Source organism: Homo sapiens, chromosome 1 (genome assembly GCF_000001405.40).
Source record: "Homo sapiens chromosome 1, GRCh38.p14 Primary Assembly".
Classification (NCBI taxonomy): Eukaryota; Metazoa; Chordata; class Mammalia; order Primates; family Hominidae; genus Homo; species Homo sapiens.
Genome location: NC_000001.11, coordinates 146,677,878 through 146,699,947, shown reverse-complemented (window position 1 = coordinate 146,699,947; position 22,070 = coordinate 146,677,878). Strand labels below are relative to the sequence as shown.

Here is a 22,070-nt window from a genome sequence, read left to right as displayed (position 1 = left end):
GCTAGGAGGAGCACAGCGCTTGGATTCTAACCAGCCACATCTGATTCGGCAGCCCAGGACCCCAACTACCACTGACACACCACATCTTAGAAAAGTTCCACTTTTGGGCCAGGAACAGTGGCTCACACTTGTAATCCTAGCACTTCGGGAGACTGAGGTAGGAGGATCACTTGAGCCTAGGAGATTGAGACTAGCCTGGGAAACATAGAAAGACCCTGTCTCTACAAAAAAAACAAACAAACAAAAAACAACAAAAAAACCAGAAATTAGCCAGGTATAATGGTGCACGCCTGTAGTCCCAGCTACAGCAGTCCTTGGCTTGTGCCCAGGAGTTTAAGGGTGTGGTGAACTAAGATTGTGCCACTGCACTCCAGCCTGGGTGACAGAGTGAGACTTTGTTTAAAAAAAAAATCTACTTTTGAAGCAACAGAAATTGAGGAATGATGAAGACATAGATGGAAGCATCCAGAAAATGAGGCTCTTTCTCCAGCCTCCTTCCAGGCCTTCCACCCTCCTCTTCCAATCTCCATATTGGCTGGCTGGCGCTCATCATAGAAAAATCAGTGTGAGAATAACATGTTCCTTTGCTGCAGGACTTGGCTCCCTTTAGGCCCTTGTATTCGATTTATTTATAATCTGATTCACAAACGAAGAGCCAAAGCTGTCCGTGGAGACCACTTGGCCCACATGCTCTAAGTTCTAGTGCGGCCTCAGCTTCCCCGCTCTGAGACTGGGCAGAGATGCCAGCCAAGCCAGAGGCTGCTCGGCTCCCTGACGGTTGGCTCTCTAGTCTGGCCTCTTAAAGGTAAAAGCTGGTTCAAGTGCACCATTTCCTTGTGCTTCTCTTTCACACAGGTGCCATGAAGCATTGTGTTGTTATCAAGCTGATCAGTTAGACTGAAGAGATGGACCTAATAAAAGGGTGGCTCCTGCAGCGACAGCTGTGTGGTCATGAATGGCCAGCCCCGGCACTTCATGCCAGCTTTCTCATTACATGCAGATGTGGGAGGGGGAGAGACCACCATCCACCATGGTTGACCCAGGTTCCTGTCACGGGCACAAACTCACAGGCTTCAAAGGCAATGGCTGCCTTTTCCTCTTACCGAGGACTTATTTAGCATGCTTGTCCATTTTACTTCTTTCTTTTTTCTTAGATGTGACATGAGGGCCAACTTGGGGAAAAAATGTGTGCTCAAACAAGAGGGATGCTTTAAATAGATGAGTGAGAATTGCCTACAAAGTCACATGCACACATGTGCATGCACGCGCACCGCAGATGTACATGTGTTGTGAAGGAACATGAGAGTGTATAGGCGACCTCAGACCTATCTAATAAAAGAAAAAGAAAACCCTCTCTTACACTTCTGTGTCTTTTACTAACTGTAAGGCTTAGAAGAATCCTAACTGGATAAGAAAGGTTAGTGTTCGTGTATATCTGATAAAAGTGACCTTTAGCCAGAGTGGTTTATGTTTTTCAGACGTCCTACACAGAGACAGTCTGTCTGGAAACCAGGTGGCTTTTTTTTTTTTTTTTTTTTTTTGTCTATTCTAGGTGACATTTATGCCTGGAACCTTTCTCTTTGGCGGGTGCCAGGAAGCTGAGAGAGAGGAATCTCAAGCCAGGTATGAAATGATCTCCTTCTCTCTACAAATACCCAGGTGGGAGCAGCTGATTCACCAAGAAACACCCTTTGAGGATGTACTCTGTGCTGGGGACTGTGCTGGGCTCTGGGGCTCCAGAGGTGATAGGGCAGGTGTGCTTGCTGGCCTCACAGGGATTAAGAGATGCTGGGAAGATGGACACCAAGCCATAAGCAGAGGCGTGATGTGAATCACCAAGGAGATGGGAGTACCAATGTCCATGACAGGGGATCTGGCCTAAGGATGGATCTTGGAGAAGGCTTCCCTGCAGAAGGATGGTGAAGCTGAAGTCTGAAGAAGGGCCAGGGACAGCTAGGTGGGGCTGGGGAGGAGCTTCCAGCAAAGAAGGGGGCAGTTGGACAGGAACAGCACTGGGCAGGACAGAGGCCGGTGTGTTGGGTAAACAGAAAGGTCAGTGCCAGAAGCACAGAGCAAATCTGGAGAGGAACGCAGGGACCAGCACATGCTGAGCCTTGCAGAATAGAGTGAGTGCTCTGTACTTTATTCCAAGAAGCACAGGTAGTTACTAAAGGCTTAACGCCAGGGCAGTGGCATGGCTACTGAGGGGAGTAGGAGCTGTGGTGCATGCGTGGAAGCAGAAAGCCCAGGTAGGGCTGTGACCACAGTAACAGGCAATGGTGGCTTGAGCCAGGGTAACAGCAGTGGAAATGGGAATGAGGTTTTCAGAAGGCAGAATAGGTAGAAGTTGGTGGTGGATTTGATAGGGTGGGTGGGGTTAGAGAGAGGAAGAAATCCTAATGCCTCCCAGGAGAGCAGTGATGTCATTTACTGGGACAGGGTGCCCTGGAGGAGAGTCTGGGGGTGAGCAGGGAGGGAACAGAGCTTATGTGGAACACGCTAGGCATAAATCACCTGGGAGGCATCCAAGGGATGTCCAAGAGGAGACGTCAAGAAGGCAACAGACTTGGAACTCAGCAGAGGGGGCTCGGTGAAGACAGGCACTGGGAAGCCTTAGCAAAAGAAGCTGACTGGAGCTATGGGGGTGCATCAATTTCCAGGAAGAGGAGAAAGCCTAGGATGGAGCCCTCCATCCTTCTACTCCAGTGGAGTTGTTGCTGGCAGAGAACTGAGAAGTTGTTGAGGGGACAAGAGGAAAATCAGGAGAATACGGTGTTCTGCAAGGCGAGAAAGGAATGTATTTCAGGAAGGTGGGGTTGGTCGCTGTGCTGAATGCTGCTAAGCGTTACCTTTCTGCAAAAACCTTTGTCACCTTCTTGATTACAAATCCCACCACTGCCTCCAAGAAAGAGCGTTAATTCCTTCTGGAATATCAGGTCTCTCACACACTTCTGCCAACATACCTCTCCAGACTCACCTCCCACAACTTCTCCCACCCAGTGAGGTCTGCCCACCAGCCACGCTGACGTACCCTCCGCCAACATCATGGTAGAAGCGTGTCATTTGCTCTCCAGCATCGATTCTCCCTCTGTCAGTTTTTGTTTGGTGACCCCATTCCCACCCCCTCCAGTCCATCTGGTTCAGAGATCATGATCCACAGCCTTTGGTGGCGGGCATGTGACCAGGTCAACCATGATGAGTGCATCACCCTCCCCTGACAGTGAATGATGAGGAGTGGGGACAGAAATGTGACTCAGTTAGTTTGATCGGAGTGAATCTCCTGGAAGTTGTGGGAGAAAGACCTCATATTGTTTTCCAGTGGATCGGAGTGTAAAAGGACATGGCCCCAGCAGTGCTGGCAGCCACTGGGTGATTAGGAGAGAAAAGCTAATCTGGGAATGAGGTTAACACAAGAAACTGAGCAGAGCTGAGAGACAGAGAACCTGGCTCCAATGATGACATTGTATGATCCTTGCTTTAAGCCAGGCCAGAAGCCAAAGCGAATCTGGAATTTTGAGTCGTGAAAACCAATGAATTTCCTTTCCTTTAATTTTTGCTTAGGGTCAGGTTTTCAATGACTTGCCATAGAGTGAACCCATGAATTCTAACTAATAGATACATGCTATTCCTGTTACTCAGAATGTCTTCCTGCCTCTCCATCTGGAATATTTAACTGTGGCTCCTCAATGTAGCCTTTTCTGACTTCTCTGGGCACAGGCCTCCCACCCACAGAGCCCAGCATGGCCACATGTCCACTTTGGTACATGTCTGCTTTCTCCACTAGCCTGAGGACAAGGGTCACGTCTTGTTCACTTTTATAGTGCTGATTCCTCAATATGTGGCTCACAATAATCACTTATCAAATGTTTTCTGACTGACTCTCTGATTGAGTAAATGAATCAATAAACAAGTTATAAGCAGAGGCTCAATATTAAGAGATAGGAAGATGCCGAAGAAAGAGAAAAACGGTTAAATAAATGCTTAAACCAATGAAAAATTAAGTGTATCATCTTCAGTAGTGGCCAAGTACATTTTCAAAAGTTCATCACTTTAATTATGAAAGTAGCCTCTCAAAAATAAAAAAATAAATGAAGCATGTCCTTGCTCCCAGATGGAATAAACTCATTTAGCTATGTTACATCAGAATCACTTCACAAAATCTGGTATTTGAAGTGCATTAGGTCGGGTTGGCTGATTTTTCCATAATTATATTAAATGTTCACCATCTACAGAATTTCATTCCAAACCCAAACAGTCCCTGGCACTTAATGAGCAGACTCCAGTGCTCAGGCCCAGGACCGGCTGCCGGCTTCAGTGCTTCGCTAGGTCATCGTTAGATGTCTACGGAAAACATTCAGAGCGAGCCATCGTTACCGTGGTAACAAGTGCAGGAGAGAAGAGGGTGACTGTCATACATAAGATGAGGATTATGGACAGGAAGCACTGACAAGCCCCTAAGGAAACAACATGAGGTTTCCTCAGTTAAGAATGGCCGTCCAATATTCACATGCCAACAACTGAGTGTCACAACATCCAATAAGGAAATATACAAAGCCCATTAGTTCTGGTTGCCAACTAAGAAGAAAATGCAGCAATCGCTGCCTCCCACTATTTTATAATTATGTGTATGTCTATACATATACATAAATGAACCAGAACAGAAACCCATTGAAATATGTAAAGCAGGCAACATGGAGCTCAGTGCTACACATACTCAATGTAGGGTCCTACTCAGTCTGTGCTTTGAGTTTGAAATGCTTTTCAAGAAAATTCTGCAGCAACAAAACCAAAAGTAAACAAGTATGACCACATCAAACTAAAAAGCTTCTGCGCAGCAAAGGAAAGAATAGAATGAAAATTCAACCTATGGAAAGGGAGAAAATATTTGCAAACCATATATCTGATAAGGGGTTAATCTCCAAAATACATAAGAACTCCAACTCAATAGCAAAAAACCACTAATACCTAATTTAAAAATGGGCTAAGGACTTAAATAGACATTTCTCCAGAGAAGATCTACAAATGACAACAGGTATAGAAAAGATGCTCAACGTCATTAAATATCAGGGAAATTCAAATAAAAACCCCAATGAGATATCACCTCATACCTGTTAGGACGGCTGTTACTAAAGAAACAATAAACAAGTGTTGGTGAGGATGCGGAGAAACTGAAACCCTGGTGCACTGTTACTGGGAATGCAAAATGGTGCAGCCACTGTGAAAAACAGTATGGAAGTTCCTTAAAAAACTAAAAATAAAGCTACCATGTGATTCTGCAATCCCACTTCTGGGTATTTATCCAAGAATTGAAATCAGAATCTCAAAGTGATATTAGCACTCTCATGTTCATTGCAGCAATATTCACAATAGCCAAGATGTAGAAAAAAGCTAAATGTCCATCAACAGGTGGATGGATAAAGAAAATTTGTTATATACATACAAGGGGCTAGAATTTTGTTCAAACTTAAAAAAGAAGGAAATTCTGCAATATGTAATGACATGGATGAACCTTGAGGACATTATTCTCAATGAAATAAGCCAGTCACGGGAAGATACTGCATGACGTGGTTTGGCTCTCTGTCCTCATCCAAATCTCATCTCAAAATGTGTTCCCCACATGCTGAGGGAGGGACCTGATGAGAGGTGATTGGATCACGCAGGTGGTTTCCCCCATGCTGTTCTCGTGATTGTGAGTGAGTTCTCATGAGATCTGATGGTTTAAAAGTGTTTGGCAGGGCTGGGTATGGTGGCCCACACCTGTAATCCCAGCACCTTGGCAGGCCGAGGCGGGCGGATTACCTGAGGTCAAGAGTTCGAGACCAGCCTGGCCAACATGGTGAAACCCCATCTCTACTAAAAATACAAAAAAAAAAAAAAATTGCCAGGCGTGGTGGCAGGCACCTGTAATCCCAGCTACTTGGGAGGCTGAGGCAGGGGAATCGCTTGAACCTGGGAGGCAGAGGTTGCAGTGAGCCCAGATAGCGCCATTGCACTCCAGCCTGGGCGACAAGAGCGAAACTCTGTCTCAAAAAAAAAAAAAAAAAAGTGTTTGGCAGTTCCCCTCTCACTTGCTGTCTCTCCTGCTGTCATGAAAGATATGCCTTGCTTCCCCTTCACTTTCTGCCATGATTGTAAATTTCCTGAGGCCTCCCCAGCTATGTAGAACTGTGAGTCAAATAAAACTTTTTTCTTCATAAATTACTCATTCTCAGGCAGTTCTTTATAACAGTGTGAAAAAGACTAATATACTGCATGATTCCACTTATATGAGGTAGTTAAAATAGTTAAATTAATAAAATCAAAGAGTAGAATGGTGGTTGCGGGGGCTGGGGAGAAAGGAGAATGGGCAACAGGCATAAAGTTTCAGTGCAGCAAGATAAGTTCTAGAAATCTGGTTTACTTATAGTCAATAATACTGTATTGTACACTTAAAAATTTGTTAAGTTGTATATATATTACCACAATAAAATAATAATTTAAACAATTCTACAAAGACTTTATTTTTTAGTGATGAATTTCTAATGGTCTTATCACTAGACTCAAAAATAAAGTGGGCTTATGGATATTGCTTTGTTAATTCGGTGGTGATTGGGACTTTCAAAGATGTTTTATCTATGTTTCCTGTTAGGAAATCGAGGATGGATCGTGATTTTAAGCTCCTTGTTAATTCTGTCAATAATTAGTGGTCAAAATGGAAAATATTCATGAATGGCCAGTACATGGAATACAGAAAACCCCATGAAAAGCCTGAAAGAGAAAACAAATGAAAAGCAGAGTTCTGTGAGAGTTCTGTGCTGGGGGTACCTTATCTGATTTTCCTCATCATTCACCAAGAAGAACCAGCGAAACTTCACAACCAACGGACTGCAGTTGGTGATGGTAACGTAGCGAATGAGCTCAGTATCGTTCAGGATGCAGCCAAAATCCAGCTCCTTTGTCTCAAAGCTGAGGTTGGGGTAATGCACTTCTCCGCGCAGGTCCAGGCTGTCTATCTGAGGGTGTTCCACATACTTAATTGCTAGAATTTCTTCTGCCACCCAGTTGTTCAGATCGTTTCTGTAGGAAGGGTCAAACTTGATCAGCAGGTTTTTTTCTTCATCAATTTCCAGTTTAATAGGCTACAAACAAGATAATGGGGAAATTACTAACTTTTGTACTATGCATTTCCACCCTGGTACATGAAACAGGACAGCCAGGTATTTACACATACACATTACATGTATTTATGCACACACAGATACATGCATATTTGTGCATACACATATAAACACACATATTAGTATGAAAAACATACACATACACATTCATATGTAAACAGCTAGTACATCTAAGTATAGACACTTATGTATATGGATACACATTTTATTAGTTGAAAATGAAAGCAAGGAAAATCTGGAATTATTTAAAGGAAGAGATTTTGATAAGTGTTGTGTGGGTTTATAAGAATTGAGCAGTTGTAAAGGAAAAGTCTACAATGAATAACTATTATAAAATATTCTTAACTAAAAATAAATTTCGTTGTGAAATGCCCTTAGGCAAGTGGGAAAAATTCTTTGCTTAAGAAATTTTTAAAAGGGTTTTCTAAAGCACTGGGGGGTGGGGTTGGGGGTGGGGGGCTCTGTAGAGAGTGACCCAGAAAGGGACAGATTAGGTAATTTAATTTCTTTTCTAATGTCAGCAATCCTAACTTTTAAGCACAGTGTCATCCACTTTCTGCTGTTTTCTATTCAACTTAAAATGACAGTCCAGAGCTGAACAGCATTTGTTCAGTACATTTTATTTGTTCTTTTCTGTCTTTGATTCCAATCCCTATGTGTTCCTTGATGCCAGTGTCTGCAGTAACACCTTCCCGTAGAAAGGCTGGCTATGAGTTGGCTTTTTTAGGCATTGCTCAATTCCCACATTTAATGGGCATGAAAGCCACCTTGTGGTTTTGCAGCAAGTGCCCTAAGGCAGTTGGGAAGAATGGACACAGGAATGAATCTGTTTTCAGTGCACCTCATCTTTCCACTGGGCTTAAACGATTCTGGTATTTAACTGTGCATTTAATGACATGATTAGATGGTTTCGGTTGATAAAGCCACTCACCTGATTCAACAGTCAGAGAGAGTAATGACTCTTCAGCATTGGCCTAATCCCAGCTGAAAGCCAGGCCAGCCACTGGGCCTTTAATCTTACCACTGGCACAAGGGGCTGGGCATAAGTTAGGACCCACCCTTGTAGATCACGGCATCTGTAGCACTCGGTATCGCCATGCTTGGTGATTAAATGTTTTGAAGATTGACTTAACTTTTTTTTTTCCAGGAAAATGACATTATTGTTTTGTAGAAATGATACAAAAATTTACATTATATATAAAAGCACAAAGAAGAAACGAGAAATTTATCCCAAATTTCACAATACATTATTTCTCAGAGTTATCATTTGGTAGATGTTAGTCCAGACGTGAGAGAGGAATAATAGGATTTTACAAAAATGGAATTAGACTACATTATTTTCTAAAAAACACCATATTTGAATTTTTTCTCAAAAAAGACTTGAAGAAATGTTTCGTATACAAGGGATATTAATTTCTAAGATTAAAGGCTCTGGAGCCAGAGTAGTTAGGTCCAAATCCTGGTTCTGCCACTTACTAGCTGTGAGACCTTGGGCAAAATACTGGGCCTCAGTTTCTCCATCTGATTTACCACTCATTTTAAATTTTCTGTAGTCTTCCCTGTTTGCTTCCTGGATCCTTTACATCTTTCTGAGCTGAAGTTGGGTGGTGTATCATTACTCTTCTCTTCCTTTATCACACCCCACCCCACCCCAGACAGCTTGCCAGAACAGCCCCCTATTAAGGTACCTCAGGAGTTGCCGGCAGCAGGGATTTATCAGTCTCACATATAAAGAAGGGTCCAGATGTTGACAGCAACAAGTTCACGGGCAGGGTGGAAATGTTCTTTACGGCCAAGGGCTGGTAATCAGGTTTCAGGATACTGTTAGGTTTCTGCAAAAACAGAAAAAGAGGAAACAAATCAACTTATGGTAAATACAGTAAGCTTTTAGCAACAAGTCTCAGGTTCATTGTTTAGAACAAATTTAGCAATCTTTCTTTTTCTTTGTGTGTGTGTGTGTGTGTGTGTGTGTATATATATGCATATATATGTAGATGTATACATACATTTTTCTCCCTTGTAGAACTTTAGATTAATCATGTGGAGGCCGGGCGCAGAGGCTCATGCCTGTAATCCCAGCACTTTGGGAGGCCGAGGCCAGTGGACTACTTGAGGTCAGGAGTTTGAGACCAGCCTGGCCAACATGGTGAAACCCCGTCTCTGCTAAAAATACAAAAATTAGCCAGTCATGGTGGCAGGCACCTGTAATCCCAGCTACTTGGGAGGCTGAGGCATGAAGATCACTTGAACCCAGGAGGCAGAGGTGGCACTGAGTCGAGATCACACCACTGTACTCCAGCCTGGGTGATAGAGTAGGACTCAGTCTCAAGGAAAAAAAAAAAGATAAATCATGTGGAATGATGTGTAGTGGACTACTGAAAAGTGGACCTACATAACCCAGACAACACAGATTAGATTTTTTTACCCCCTTGGTGCCTAATTGAGAAAACCTACAGAAGCCATGTTTCTGGATAGAACTATTATTATAGGGCCTTCCACAGTGTCATAAGACAAAGTCTAAAAAGTTAGTTATATCTTATGCATAAATATAGCTATCATTATAATGAATAAAACATTTTTCCCTTGTATAATATTTTTCCAGGCTTAAAATACCTGATTTGCCTATATCTTGTTATACTGACAAATGATCAGACCTATTTCCTGTAAACTTTTCCTGATAATACCAGGATAGTTGATTTAGAAGTATCTTTTTACTCTGTTAGATAAATTAGATTTAATTTTTCTTTTTTTTTTTTTTTGAGACAGAGTCTTGCTCTGTCGCCCAGGCTGGAATGCAGTGGTGTGATCTCAGCTCACTGCAACCTCTGCCTCTCGAGTACAAGTGATTCTCTTGCCTCAGCCTCCCAAGTAGCTGGGATTACAGGCACGTGCCACCATGCCCAGCTAATTTTTGTATTTTTTGTAGAGATGGGGTTTCACTATGTTGGCCACGATGGTCTCGATATCTTGACCACATGATCCACCCGCCTCAGCCTCCCAAAGTGCTGGGATTACAGGTGTGAGCCACCGCGCCCGGCCCAGATTTAATTTTTCAACTAGAGAAGGCATCGGAAATGAATCTCGAGTTGAGAGTTTCTGGCCAGACTGGATTTTTCTCATTCTGATGTTGGGGCCCACATTATTTCTTGTATTCCCTAGAAAGAGGGTTCTTTAGTATCATCAGGGGGTGACCAGGAGCCTCAATCTTTGGCCTCCAAAAAGAACCTCCCTCCAATCATCCCCTGGGTCTTCTGACAATTCTAGTCTGTCTTTCCTAGGCCTCCTTGTTTTCATTTGCCTTTTCTCTTTGTGCCAATATCAGTTAAGCCCTCCTAATTTCATACTTTGATATGACTCTGTCTTCCAGTTCTATGCCTAGCACAGTCTTCCTTCCATTGTGGTTCCTGGGTGAGCTCAGGTGGCCAGTGTCCCTTGGCTCGAGCCTCATGCCTTGGTTGTACTCTATGAGTCTCCCTGTGCACTCCCAGGGTGACTTTAGGGATTAGGTCTGGAGTTTACCATGAGATACCAGCCTTTGTTTCCCTCCCTCTAATATGGGGTAGCATGGAAGCGGACTCACCTTGCCTCTGCGGGTTGTATACTATGGTTTAGGGAGGGATGAAGCAGTACTCTGGGCCCTACTAAGGCTGCATGGAGAACTGTCCACCCAGTGACCTTCCCTGAAGGCTGCTGTGTCACTGCAGATGGCTTTGAAGTACAGAAGCCACACTTGGTTGGTTTTGGCAAGAGGCCATTTAGAGGCTACTGATGAGAAGGAGTCAAGTACAGAGAGGCCATTCTATTTTAAAATGACCCCTTCTCTTTGAGTTGTTCGTCTCCCCAAATATCAGCAGACAGAATGTGCTGCTGGAACTTCATGAAGAAAAGTGGCTGCTAGTTTCAATTGACCTTTTCAATCCCACAGAGATGTGGTTTCATCTCCGTGGCTTATGAATGGTACAATAGTTATATAAAGTAGACCAAATCTGAGGAAACAGCTATAGAAAAATTCTTCCCATAGACAGGGTTGGTACCATTATATTCTAATGTACCAAATCAGATCCACTGCCCTTGAGCTGAAATCAGGGAGACAGAACAGATAATTGGATGTTATACAATTAAATCTGAATACTGAGACCTAACAAGTCTCTTGCATATGCTGGGTAATGAAGTTGCATTTCTTCATTGTCCCTGATGTGGATTAAATGTGAGCAGGAAATGAAAATGAAAAATACAGTAATAGGACAGATTTCAAACTTCTCATCTTTGTGGGGAAGGAGAGAAGGGTGGAAAAAAATAAGCAGGGAACTGTAGCTCAATTCACTTTTTGATTGAATAAGAAGTTACCGCCATATTCCAAATATGTACATATTTTAATCTAGTAATAAATTCAAACAGTAGACATTTAAATAAAAACATGCCCCCCGCAAAAGGCATAAGGATATAAAGAGAAGAAAAAGAGCACTACCCACACATTTTTATTAGTGTTTATGGGCTTAGAGAAATCTAATAAGAAACTAGGCTGCATATTTAACATATATTACGTCTTGCCCAGAATAGCTATTCAATAAATATTCACTGAGTTTTCTCCCAATAATGGCATTCAGGGAAAATACAATGCCACCAACTTCAGTGCAGCTGTTGCCAATAAATATCTTTCCTGATTACTGAAAAATGAAGAATTTAAAATAGAGCAATAAAGCTTAATAACTGTAGCAGGAACTCTTGTCGTATTTTCCTTTTACATGTCTCATGGAGCTTGTTGGCTTCGGGTTTAGCTTGGGTTTCAGTGACGGGAAGCTAAACTAACAATGTCCACCTTCCCCACTCATCTATTAAGCCAAGCCATGGATATTTTATTTTATTTTATTTTAAGTCCTGGGATACATGTGCAGAACGTGCAGGTTTGTTATATGGGTATACATGTGCCATGGTGGTTTGCTGCACCTATCAACCCATCATCTAGGTTTTAAGCCCCACATGCATTAGGTATTTGTCCTAATGCTCTCCCTCCTCTTGCCCCTGACCCCACGACAGGCCCCAGTGTGTGATGTTCCCCTCCCTGTGTCCACGTATTCTCACTGTTCAACTCTCACTTATGAGTGAGAACACGCAGTGTTTGGTTTTCTGTTCCTGTGTAAGTTTCCTGAGACTGATAAACCATGGTCTTTGCTGTGTCTTTTCTGCCTTATATATTGTAGGTGACCGATACACCTGCTCAAAAGTTACTTGTTGATTTGAATTGAACTTGTACCTCTCACCTCTCCTACTGGACCACAAGCTCTTTTTTTCATCTCCTAGCAGAACATCTTTCCCATGGTGATAATCAACAGATACTAATTTGTTTTAATGAACAAAATATGATGGAATCCACTACCAAAATAAATGGTCTTGAACATTCTTCTGCAAACCTCCAGGTAATGAAAGGAACCCCAGTTGATACCTCATGACTGGTTAGGCACTACCACACCCAATGTTTTTGTGTGACAGCAAAGATCACACTGTGGGGCAGTGACTTACTTAATGCTTGGTCTTCCCAGCAGGCTGTGAAATTTATCAGGGAGGACTGTTCTGACTGTTGTATCTCTAGCCCCCAACACTGTGCCTAGCACATGATAGGCCTTAATAAACATTCCATTCAGTGGCCAGCATGATGGTTTCAGTGAATCTGACCATGTCACTCCCTTCCTGGAAGCCCTCCAATGGCCATCCAGAACAAAACCCAAAGTTCAGATAATGCCTTCCAGGCAGACTGCACGTCTCCAGATGGACTTTTGCCATCCTTGGCACATTCTCTGTCCAAGGTGGCCTTTCCTAACTCGAGCCCTTCGTGTGAGCTAGTCCCTCTGCCTACAATTCTCTCCCCCTCCCTTGTCACCAGACTAGCTTCTATTTTTACTTGTAGTCTCAACTTGAGGCACTTGCTCAAGAAAGTCATTCATGACCACATGGACGAACAAGATCATGTCTCCTAATACATGCCCTCCCAGCACCTTGCACCTCTTCTTAATAGCAATGTTTATAATGGTGACTTCAACAATTAAATTTTAATAATTTGTTTAAAGTCAGCCAGCTTAGCTTTGGTTATGTTTGTCTGGTTCACTAGATTTCCAGTACCAGCTCAATCCCCAACTCAGAACAGACATTCCTTACATGTCTTGAATGGTAATTAATTCTGGATGGAAGCCTATCTAGGGGCAGGTCAAGCCTATTGTGATATCTCCTCCACCCCATCTCTTCACTATCCTGACCCCCCGCCCTGAGCAGCAGCCACTACCTTCTCTCCCTTGTCCCCTGACTCTGACATTTACTGTCTACCCTTACGTAGAGCCATTTAAGTTAAAGAGTGTGAATCTAATACTTTAAGTTGATTATTCTCCAGCTTAACCTGTATCTCAGTTTCCTCGTGTGCATCACATCACACATCATTTCCTCGTGTGATAACAGAACCTGCTGCATATGGTTGTTGTGAGGGACTACTGGGTAAATGTACGTAATGAACATGGCTCCATGTCTAGCACGTACTAATCAATCAGTGGTAGATACTCTTACTGATAATTATAATTATCAATAATTCTACTCCAATCCTTCCTCTGCCTTGGGTTTATTTTACCTGATTAAAGTAAGATGATTGACTAAAATGCATATTCAGTGCACTGGAATGCCACTTCCTTAGGTCTTAGACATCAGGAATGATGGAAATAGAATTTCCACAGCAACTTACATGTCAAAGGATTGTAGGTTTAGATTCAGAATTTTTAGTTGAATGTGTACTGGCCTCTGAAGCTTAAAAAACATGGGCTGAGTAATGGGTGGAAAAGGATGCCCATTAATTCAGCTTTCAAAATGAAAATGTAAACATGCTGACCCTAGTCGAAGCACCCAGCCCTCGCCAGCACACCTCACTGACCTTCTCCAGTCGGTAGATGAGCTGCTTGGTGGAGAGCTGGATGAGAGGTGCGACGAACTCACAGGTGATGTTCACAGCCATCACCAAGCTCTTCCCCTTCTGTGCCCCGATGATGGCGTGGCACACCAGCTTCTCTTTCACTATCTGCCAGTGAGATAAGCCAGCATTTGGGGAACAACTATAACTTAATACTTACTCAGAATACTTATTTACCCACTGAGAGAAAATGGATTTCCGACTACCTGCCTGGGGACACAAGGAAGAGCACACTTTTCTGAACAGCACGTTTCAGGGACTGCTCTTTGTCACATGATTATGTTTTTGTTAGTTACACATGGCCTTGATGGATTCTGTATTTATTTCTGACTGCCCTGAGGCAGTTGATTTACATTCAGTTCTGGGAGTAAAAACATTGATGAACAAGACAGATAAAATCTTTCATGGGGCTTATAGTTCAAAGGTGGTTACATGATTTCTTAATCAACTATTGAAAACTGTAGTTGGAAAGTTTTTGTCTTTTTCTTCCTTTTTTTTTTCAGATGGAGTTTGCTCTTGTCGCCCAGGCTGGAGTGCAATGGTGCAATCTCAGCTCACTGCAACCTCTGCCTCCCCGGTTCAAGCGATTCTCCTGCCTCAGCCTCCCAAGTAGCTGCGATTACAGGCATGTGCCACCACGCCTGGCTAATTTTGTATTTTTAGTAGACACGGGGTTTCTCCATGTTGGTCAGGCTGGTCTCGAACTCCCGACCACAGGTGACCCACCCACCTCGGCCTCCCAAAGTGCTGGGATTACAGGCGTGAGCCACTGTGCCCGGCCAAATTTTTGCCTTTTATACTTAAACATTTAAAAATCATGCATTAGGAATTAATATTTCTTTGGACTCAAAAAGCCTAGATTTTTATAAAGCAGAAAGGATCAAAAGTGAATTTACAGCATGAATAGGTTATATAGAAGAGTGCTCAGGTTAGGGATGTTAATGCATTCCAGTCTCTTCTCAATTATGTAGCATGATTTAGAAGAACATTCGGGGAGGCCGGGCGCGGTGGCTCACGCCTGTAATCCCAGCACTTTGGGAGGCCGAGGCGGGCGGATCACGAGGTCAGGAGATCGAGACCATCCTGGCTAACACGGTGAAACCCCGTCTCTACTAAAAATACAAAAAATTAGCCGGGCGTGGTAGCGGGCGCCTGTAGTCCCAGCTACTCGGGAGGCTGAGGCAGGAGAATGGCGTGAACCCGGGAGGCGGAGCTTGCAGTGAGCCGAGATCGCGCCACTGCACTCCAGCCTGGGCGACAGAGCGAGACTCCGTCTAAAAAAAAAAAAAAAAAAAAAAAAAAAAAGAACATTCGGGGATGCTTTTAGTAAAGCTTAAGCTGAGTTTAGTCCCCCAGCAGCTCAGAATTAATGCCTTCAAAAATATGGACAACTCTTGATAACCACATTATAAATATGCTCTTCCAACAGCTGTCAGTGTCTTGAGATAAGGGCCTGTGTTCTATTCATCTTTACATCCTCAGTGCCTAGCACAGTATTTGTCACATGGTATACACACAATAAAAGTTGGCTGATCACCTGAATAACAGAGAGAAGGAACACATTACCTTTTCCACAATGAGAGATAACCCCCCCTTTTGTTGAACTGAGGATGCGTTTTACCTGAAAATGCTCTATGAAGAAATAATCTAATGAAATAAAGTGGAATCTGTGACCTTAGAGAAGCTAAGCAAGGGACTAGCTTTCCAGCTGTGTCTACTGGGAGACAAAGTTCTTTTTGCTTCCTATTTAATGTGGGGAAAAGTCAGTATCACCTCCAAATTTGGCAACACAAGCAGGATCTTAAGCAAGCATCATTTCTCATCTACAAGGTCTGCATTTTGTCGGGAGGGAGAGACTCTTAAGTGACTTTGAAAGCCTTTCCTTTAGGTTTTTAATGGTTTCCACACTCTGTGAGAGAATAGGGATAAAGAAACACACATGATTTGGATCTACTGAAACGTTTTACGTAGAGTGTATGGAGATCATGTAAATAAAAGCAGGGAATCAGAGTTGCTGAAGATAAATGTGGCTCTTTTATTAATGCATAAAAAGAAGGTGTTTTGAAATGTGAGTTGCAGTCAGGCTGGAAAGAAAGGAACAGGGATGTCCCAATACCTGAACAGGAGAGGCAGCCCAGAGTGTCGATATAAACACCCTTTTTGAATGAATATTAAATTCATCCTGCTAAGTGTTAATAGGAGAATTTGCTTTGGCTAAAAACTGGGTGTTTTTCTACCAGAGACTTGCTGGCTGGTCACTGTGGACCCTGGGCATGAGAACCTCCTTTAAGACTGGGTTCACAGTAGCTACAGAAACAAATCGAAGACTGAGCAGAGCTGCACCCCGAAAGCAACGGATGCTACCATGGTAACTCAGGATTGTACACAATCCTTGAGAAACCATATCCTTCCTCAGATAAATGTCAAGGGACTTTCCTAAGAAATAGATACAGTAGAGATTTATTTAGGAAAAAACAATAGCTTCCAAATGTGCTGTCCCCTTACCCTGGGAGTAGCAGAATAGCCTTCGAGTATCACATCAATTGCCTGGCCTGGGTACAGCTCCATGCTGGCGGGGTGGAGATGAAACACGGGGCTCTGTGGATCCCTGGGCTCCTGAGAGCCACTGGGCTGGGGTTGGACATGAGCATGTCCCTTCTTAACCCGGCCCTTCTTACTCAGCTTGGCCTGGGGTCGGAAGCTATCATTCATCCAGAACAACTGTTGGATCCGACGTCCCTTGTTGATCAACTTAAAGTGGTAATAGTGGGTATCCAGGCTGGAAAAGACGAGGCAGGTGTTGAGAGGATTCCATTTAGGGATGTTCTGTTCAGCTCTACACCCTTGGGATTTACTCTTCTGGAAGTATTTAAAATGGTGAGCAACAATATAAGACTTTTTTTTTTTTTTTAAATGTAGGAAGACTAAGTCACGATGCCACTAGGAACTAACACAGAGTTGGCATCACCAGGTAAGGGGCTGTGGAAAATCTCCACTCCCCGTAAGTCTTCCCCAGCAGGCCCCACACACTGCAGGACACACACAGTTCATGTGAAAAGCAATCCCATTTAGAAAAATAGCTCTGAGGAGTGAAAGGAAAGCAAAATACCTACTGGAGGAGAAGCGAGTTTCAAGCTGTGCTGAGAAAATTACTAGTGACTGAGTGGAATGTCCCATAATAATGGGCTCAATTTGAAGGAAGCTTTGAAGAAAAACCATGCATATTCTCTAAGCTTTAACAGAGGCCAGGGGGACTGCAATGGGCCAGAACACCACCGGGATTGGTCACCCATCTCAGACTAATGTGCTTTAAAGATGTTGCAATTTCATGTATTCATTTGTTCATCATGCATTCATATATTCCACAAATATTTACTAAGAACGTCCCGACTGCCTGGCTATTTGCTAAAAAAAAACTGGGATTTCTAAGATCTCGGATATGGTTCAAATGTGTTTTTGTTTGTTTGGGATTTTTTTTTTTTTCCCACAGGCTTACTTTAAAATATTTTCTTAGGGAAAAACTCATCTCGGGACTGTTTTTTATTTTTTAAATTTTACTAGGCTTTGAGATTTCATCCCATCTGTTCCTCCTTAGGAAATGACATCATGCCTGGTAAGTTGAACCATGAAATAAACAATCAGAAGGAATATTTGCTAGTTGTCAGGTATAACCATTTCTAGCTACATATGTTGTGAATCTGTGTCCACGGGGCACGCTCAAGGGAGCTTCTTTACTTGGTAGTTTATGGCTAACAGTAGGCTTTTGGGGGAAATAATAAACAACATATACTGTTTATAAAAACCATATACTGTTTATAAAAAACACATACTGTTTATAAAGACTAGGCAGGATGTCTGTTACTTATTCACAGTATATCTTTCAATCATCACAGCAATCCAGTCATGATAAGTATATTTACTACCATTTTATAGATCAAGAAATGGAAGCTCTGAAAACCTAAGGGAGTTGTCTAAAAATATGCAATTAGAAGCGGCAGCGTATGGCTATTTCTTTAGACCAGACGTTGGCAAACTTTTTCTTTAAAGGGCTAAATAACAAATATTTTAGGCTTTTTGGGCCACACGGTCTCTGTAACAGCTACTCAACTTTCCCTTGTAGTGTGAAAGCAGCCATAGACAATATGTTAAGAAATGGGCATGGCTGTGTTCCAATAAAACTTTATTTACAAAAGCAGGCAGAGGGTTGTAGTTTACCCAGCCCTGCTTTTGACAATTCTTCTGGAGACTGCAGGCATAGTGATTTTATGTCAAAAAGTTTAGGCAGAGGGCAAATTAGCAACTAAAGCTACAGTTTGCTTTTATATTCATAGAAAACTGTTAGCTAACCCTCCAATTCCATATGTCAGAATATCCTTTGAAGGCTACTTGACACTATTTGTAGATTTAAAAGAACATGTAATTAGGTCTGGTTTGCCACATATTGTTTTCTACAATTATATTTGAGTGCACGAAAAGAAATTTGAAACTAGAAGCACTGGTATGCAATGACAAACTACCCTCGCTTACGGCCAATAGACAGGCAGAGAGGACAATTCTTATATTTAGTCGACTTGAAAAATATAATTGGATACTTGTCTAAAAGCATGCAATTCAACCATGTGACTTGCTTTTTACTTAATTTTCTACTAGTTTATGGTATTTTCAATCAAGTCCCATATTTTGTAGATGGAGCAGAGGGAAGGATTCTGGGGAGGGCTCCTAACTGATTAATGTCAGTCACATCTCCAAGCACAGCATATATGACTTGATTTCAGGGCCTGTGAGCCCAGAAGTCAGGGGGAATACCTTCTGAGATCTGTTCACAGTACTGCAACGGATAAGTTCAAATTCAACTGGCCCCCAAGAGCCAACTAGTGATGGCGACATGACTCTCCTGAGGAATCAAGAATCCCCACACATACCCTCTGCGCTTAGCACTCAAACCTCATATATATATTTATTCACTTAATTTGAGATGAAGTCTTGCTCTGTTGCCCATGCTGGAGTTGCAGTGGTGTGATCCTGGTTCACTGTAGCCTCAACCTCCTGGGTACAAGCAATCCTCTCACCTCAGCCTCCCAAGTAGGTAGGACAACAGGCATGTGACATCATGCGAGGCTAATTTTTTTATTTTGTAGAGATGGGGGGTCTCCCTATGTTGCCCAGGCTGGTCTCCAATTCCTGGGCTCAAGCAATCCTCCCACCTCAGCCTCCCAAAGTAAAGTGCTGGGATCATAGGCATAAACCACTGCTCCCAGCCCAAACCTTATATATGTGTGTGTATACATATATATGTGTGTGTGTATATGTATATGTGTGTGTTGTTCTTCTTTTCTTTCTTTCTTTTTTTTTTTTTTTTTAAGACAGGGTCTCACTCTGTCACCCAGGCTGGAGTGCAGTGGTACGACCTTGGCTCACTGCAACCTCTGCCTCTTGGGCTCAAGTGATTCTCCCACCTCAGCCTCCTGAGTAGCTGGGACTACACGCACCCGCCACCATGCCCAGAATTTTTTGTACTTTTGTAGAGATGGGGTTTTACCATGTTGTCCAGGCTGGTCTTGAATTCCTGAACTCAAGTGATCCTCCTGCCTTGGCCTCCCAAACTGCTAGGATTATAGGCGTGGGCTGCTGTGCCTGGTCCAAACCTGATTTTTATGTCCACATTTAGATTGTTCTGCTCAGAGGTGTCTATACTGTACCACAGCTTATTTAAATATTTAGACCCTCTAGCTTTTCCTGGGTAATCAGGCAAAGCCAATGGAAACCATCTCAGTTGTCGGTACTATGGGAGTCAAGTAGAGGACATAAGCTTTGCAAAAGCTGCTAGTGACCGGGCATGGTGGCTCATGCCTGTAATCCTAGCACTTTGGGAGGCCGAGGCAGGTGGATCATGAGGTCAGGAGATCGAGACCATCCTGGCTAACACGGTGAAACCCCGTCTCTACTAAAAATACAAAAAATTAGCCAGGCGTGGTGGTGGGCACCTGTAGTCCCAGCTACTTGGGAGGCTGAGGCAGGAGAATGGCGTGAACCCGGGAGGCGGAGCTTGCAGTGAGCAGAGATCACGCCACTGCACTCCAGCCTAGGCCACAGAGCAAGACTCCGTCTCAAAAAAAAAAAAAAAAAAAAAAAAAAAAAAAAAAAGCTGCTGGCTCTGCAATAGCTGATAAAATACACTTGCAATAAATTTTTACCTTCCTAGGTATGTTCTGCTTAGGTTACCACTAAGCTGTATCTGTATTTTCTACATTTGTGGAGAGGGATTAACAGTGTATTGGAATCAAAGAGGAGAAATTACGGTTGAGAGTCTAAATTAATCACAGAGTGGCCAGTTTGAGAAAAGAATGCATTTCCTACAAACCATATTCTTCTCACATGTAGAGGGACACGGATTAGAGAATGCAACCAAGTTATGGCTAGAAAATGTCTTCTTGTTGCTGACATACACATCAGGAGGTGGAAGAGTGAGGATGGGAAAGGAGAGGGACTGAGGTGGCTAGTTTTAATTACTTAAAATAATTTTCTAAAGTAGAGGTGATGCTCAGCATATGTAACATATGTGATATCTATAAAAATTGGTCCATGAGATTTCCTTACCTAAAATGTGCCCCCAAATTGAGTTCTGGAGCAAAGGGCTTATCTGAAACAATAGTGGAACCAGTTCCGGAAGCCTGAACAGGAATCCGATAGGTACTGCTATTTTCAATGTCCAAAATAACACAGTCCTTGAATGTCAGTGTGTCATTCAGGTTGGCGGTCAGTGCCAGTTGAACATCAGTTTCTGGAGGAACCATGCCTTCATTGGGTTCAATCGTCCAAAGGGATTTTTTGTGTGCCTGCAACACAAGAGTACAAGTTAACAGGGAAGATATTCTTGGCTTTTCGTTCTATAGATGTCAAAGCCCTCTACACTTCAAATGGGTGGCATTGTGGAATTCAACATCAGAGACAAACATTATTTTTTGAATTAAAGCAGCTGGATGTTTGTTGGTTTTCCTTTTTTTCAAAAAGCAATCTGATTCTGAAGAGCAAACCTACGATTTTACTTTTGAATTCTCTGTGAAGATTCTTTACATCTCTTTCCCAAGATAACAGTCCAATTCTCAAACAAGCTTATAATTATTATCTACTATAATCTCCAGATTCTGAGATACCAACAGAAGGTACAATATTCTTTATGAAGTTTGAAATTTTTATTTTTTATTCTTATTTATTTTTCCTTTTTGTTTTTTTTTTTTTTTGGAGTTTGAAATTTTTAAAAGAAACGTTTTTCAAATGCAAAATTTCTAGTGTTATAGTGAGGATGAACCAATTTAATTAATACAATATAAGAAGTCATCTGGATTTCTACTAATTTATAACAATTAATAATTAGCCTCATCAGAATTTCATTAGCTAAAATTGCAAACTTATTTTGAAATACAGACATGTGTTACTTAATGACAGGGAAACATTCTAAGAAATGTGTCATTAGGTGATTTCGTTGCTGTGCAAACATTGTAGAGCGAGACAGTGGAGTCTACTACACACCTAGGCTATACGGTATAACCTGTTGCTCCTAGGCTGAAAACCCGTGCAGCATGTTTCTGTACTGAATACTGTAGGCAACTATAACACAGTAGTATTTGTATTTCTCAACCTGTCTCTGTTTCTGAGCCTCATCTGCATTTTCTGTTTGTTGTTTTCTGTGCTTCATTTTTGATGCTTTCTTTTGAGCTCTCTTCCAATTCACTAGCTCTCTCTTCAGCTATGTGTAATATGCTATTAAACACATCTATTCTCTCCTTAATTTTGATTTCTGTATTTTTGAATTCAGGTGTTGGTATTTTTGATTTTTATAAGGTTTTCATCTTTTGACAACTTTTATAATTCTGACTATGACATTCAACTTACTAGCTACTACAACTAATAATTAGGGACCACTCCTCCTAGCCCCTCCAAGTCTTCTACAAATTTAATGAGCAAAT

At 42.3% G+C, this 22,070-nt stretch overlaps 1 pseudogene across 1 annotated transcript in view; it reads right to left on the bottom strand.

The window, feature by feature from the left end:
• Positions 1–22,070, bottom strand: part of HYDIN2 (HYDIN axonemal central pair apparatus protein 2 (pseudogene)) — a 335,703-nt pseudogene that overhangs the window by 122,087 nt on the left and 191,546 nt on the right. Inside the window, exons 24-27 of the transcript NR_103556.2 lie at positions 20,701–20,939; positions 16,609–16,882; positions 8,846–8,989; positions 6,805–7,118 (exon numbers count right to left, since the gene is read on the bottom strand). The product of NR_103556.2 is annotated as an HYDIN axonemal central pair apparatus protein 2 (pseudogene) (transcript). The remainder of the gene's footprint in view (positions 1–6,804; positions 7,119–8,845; positions 8,990–16,608; positions 16,883–20,700; positions 20,940–22,070) is intronic.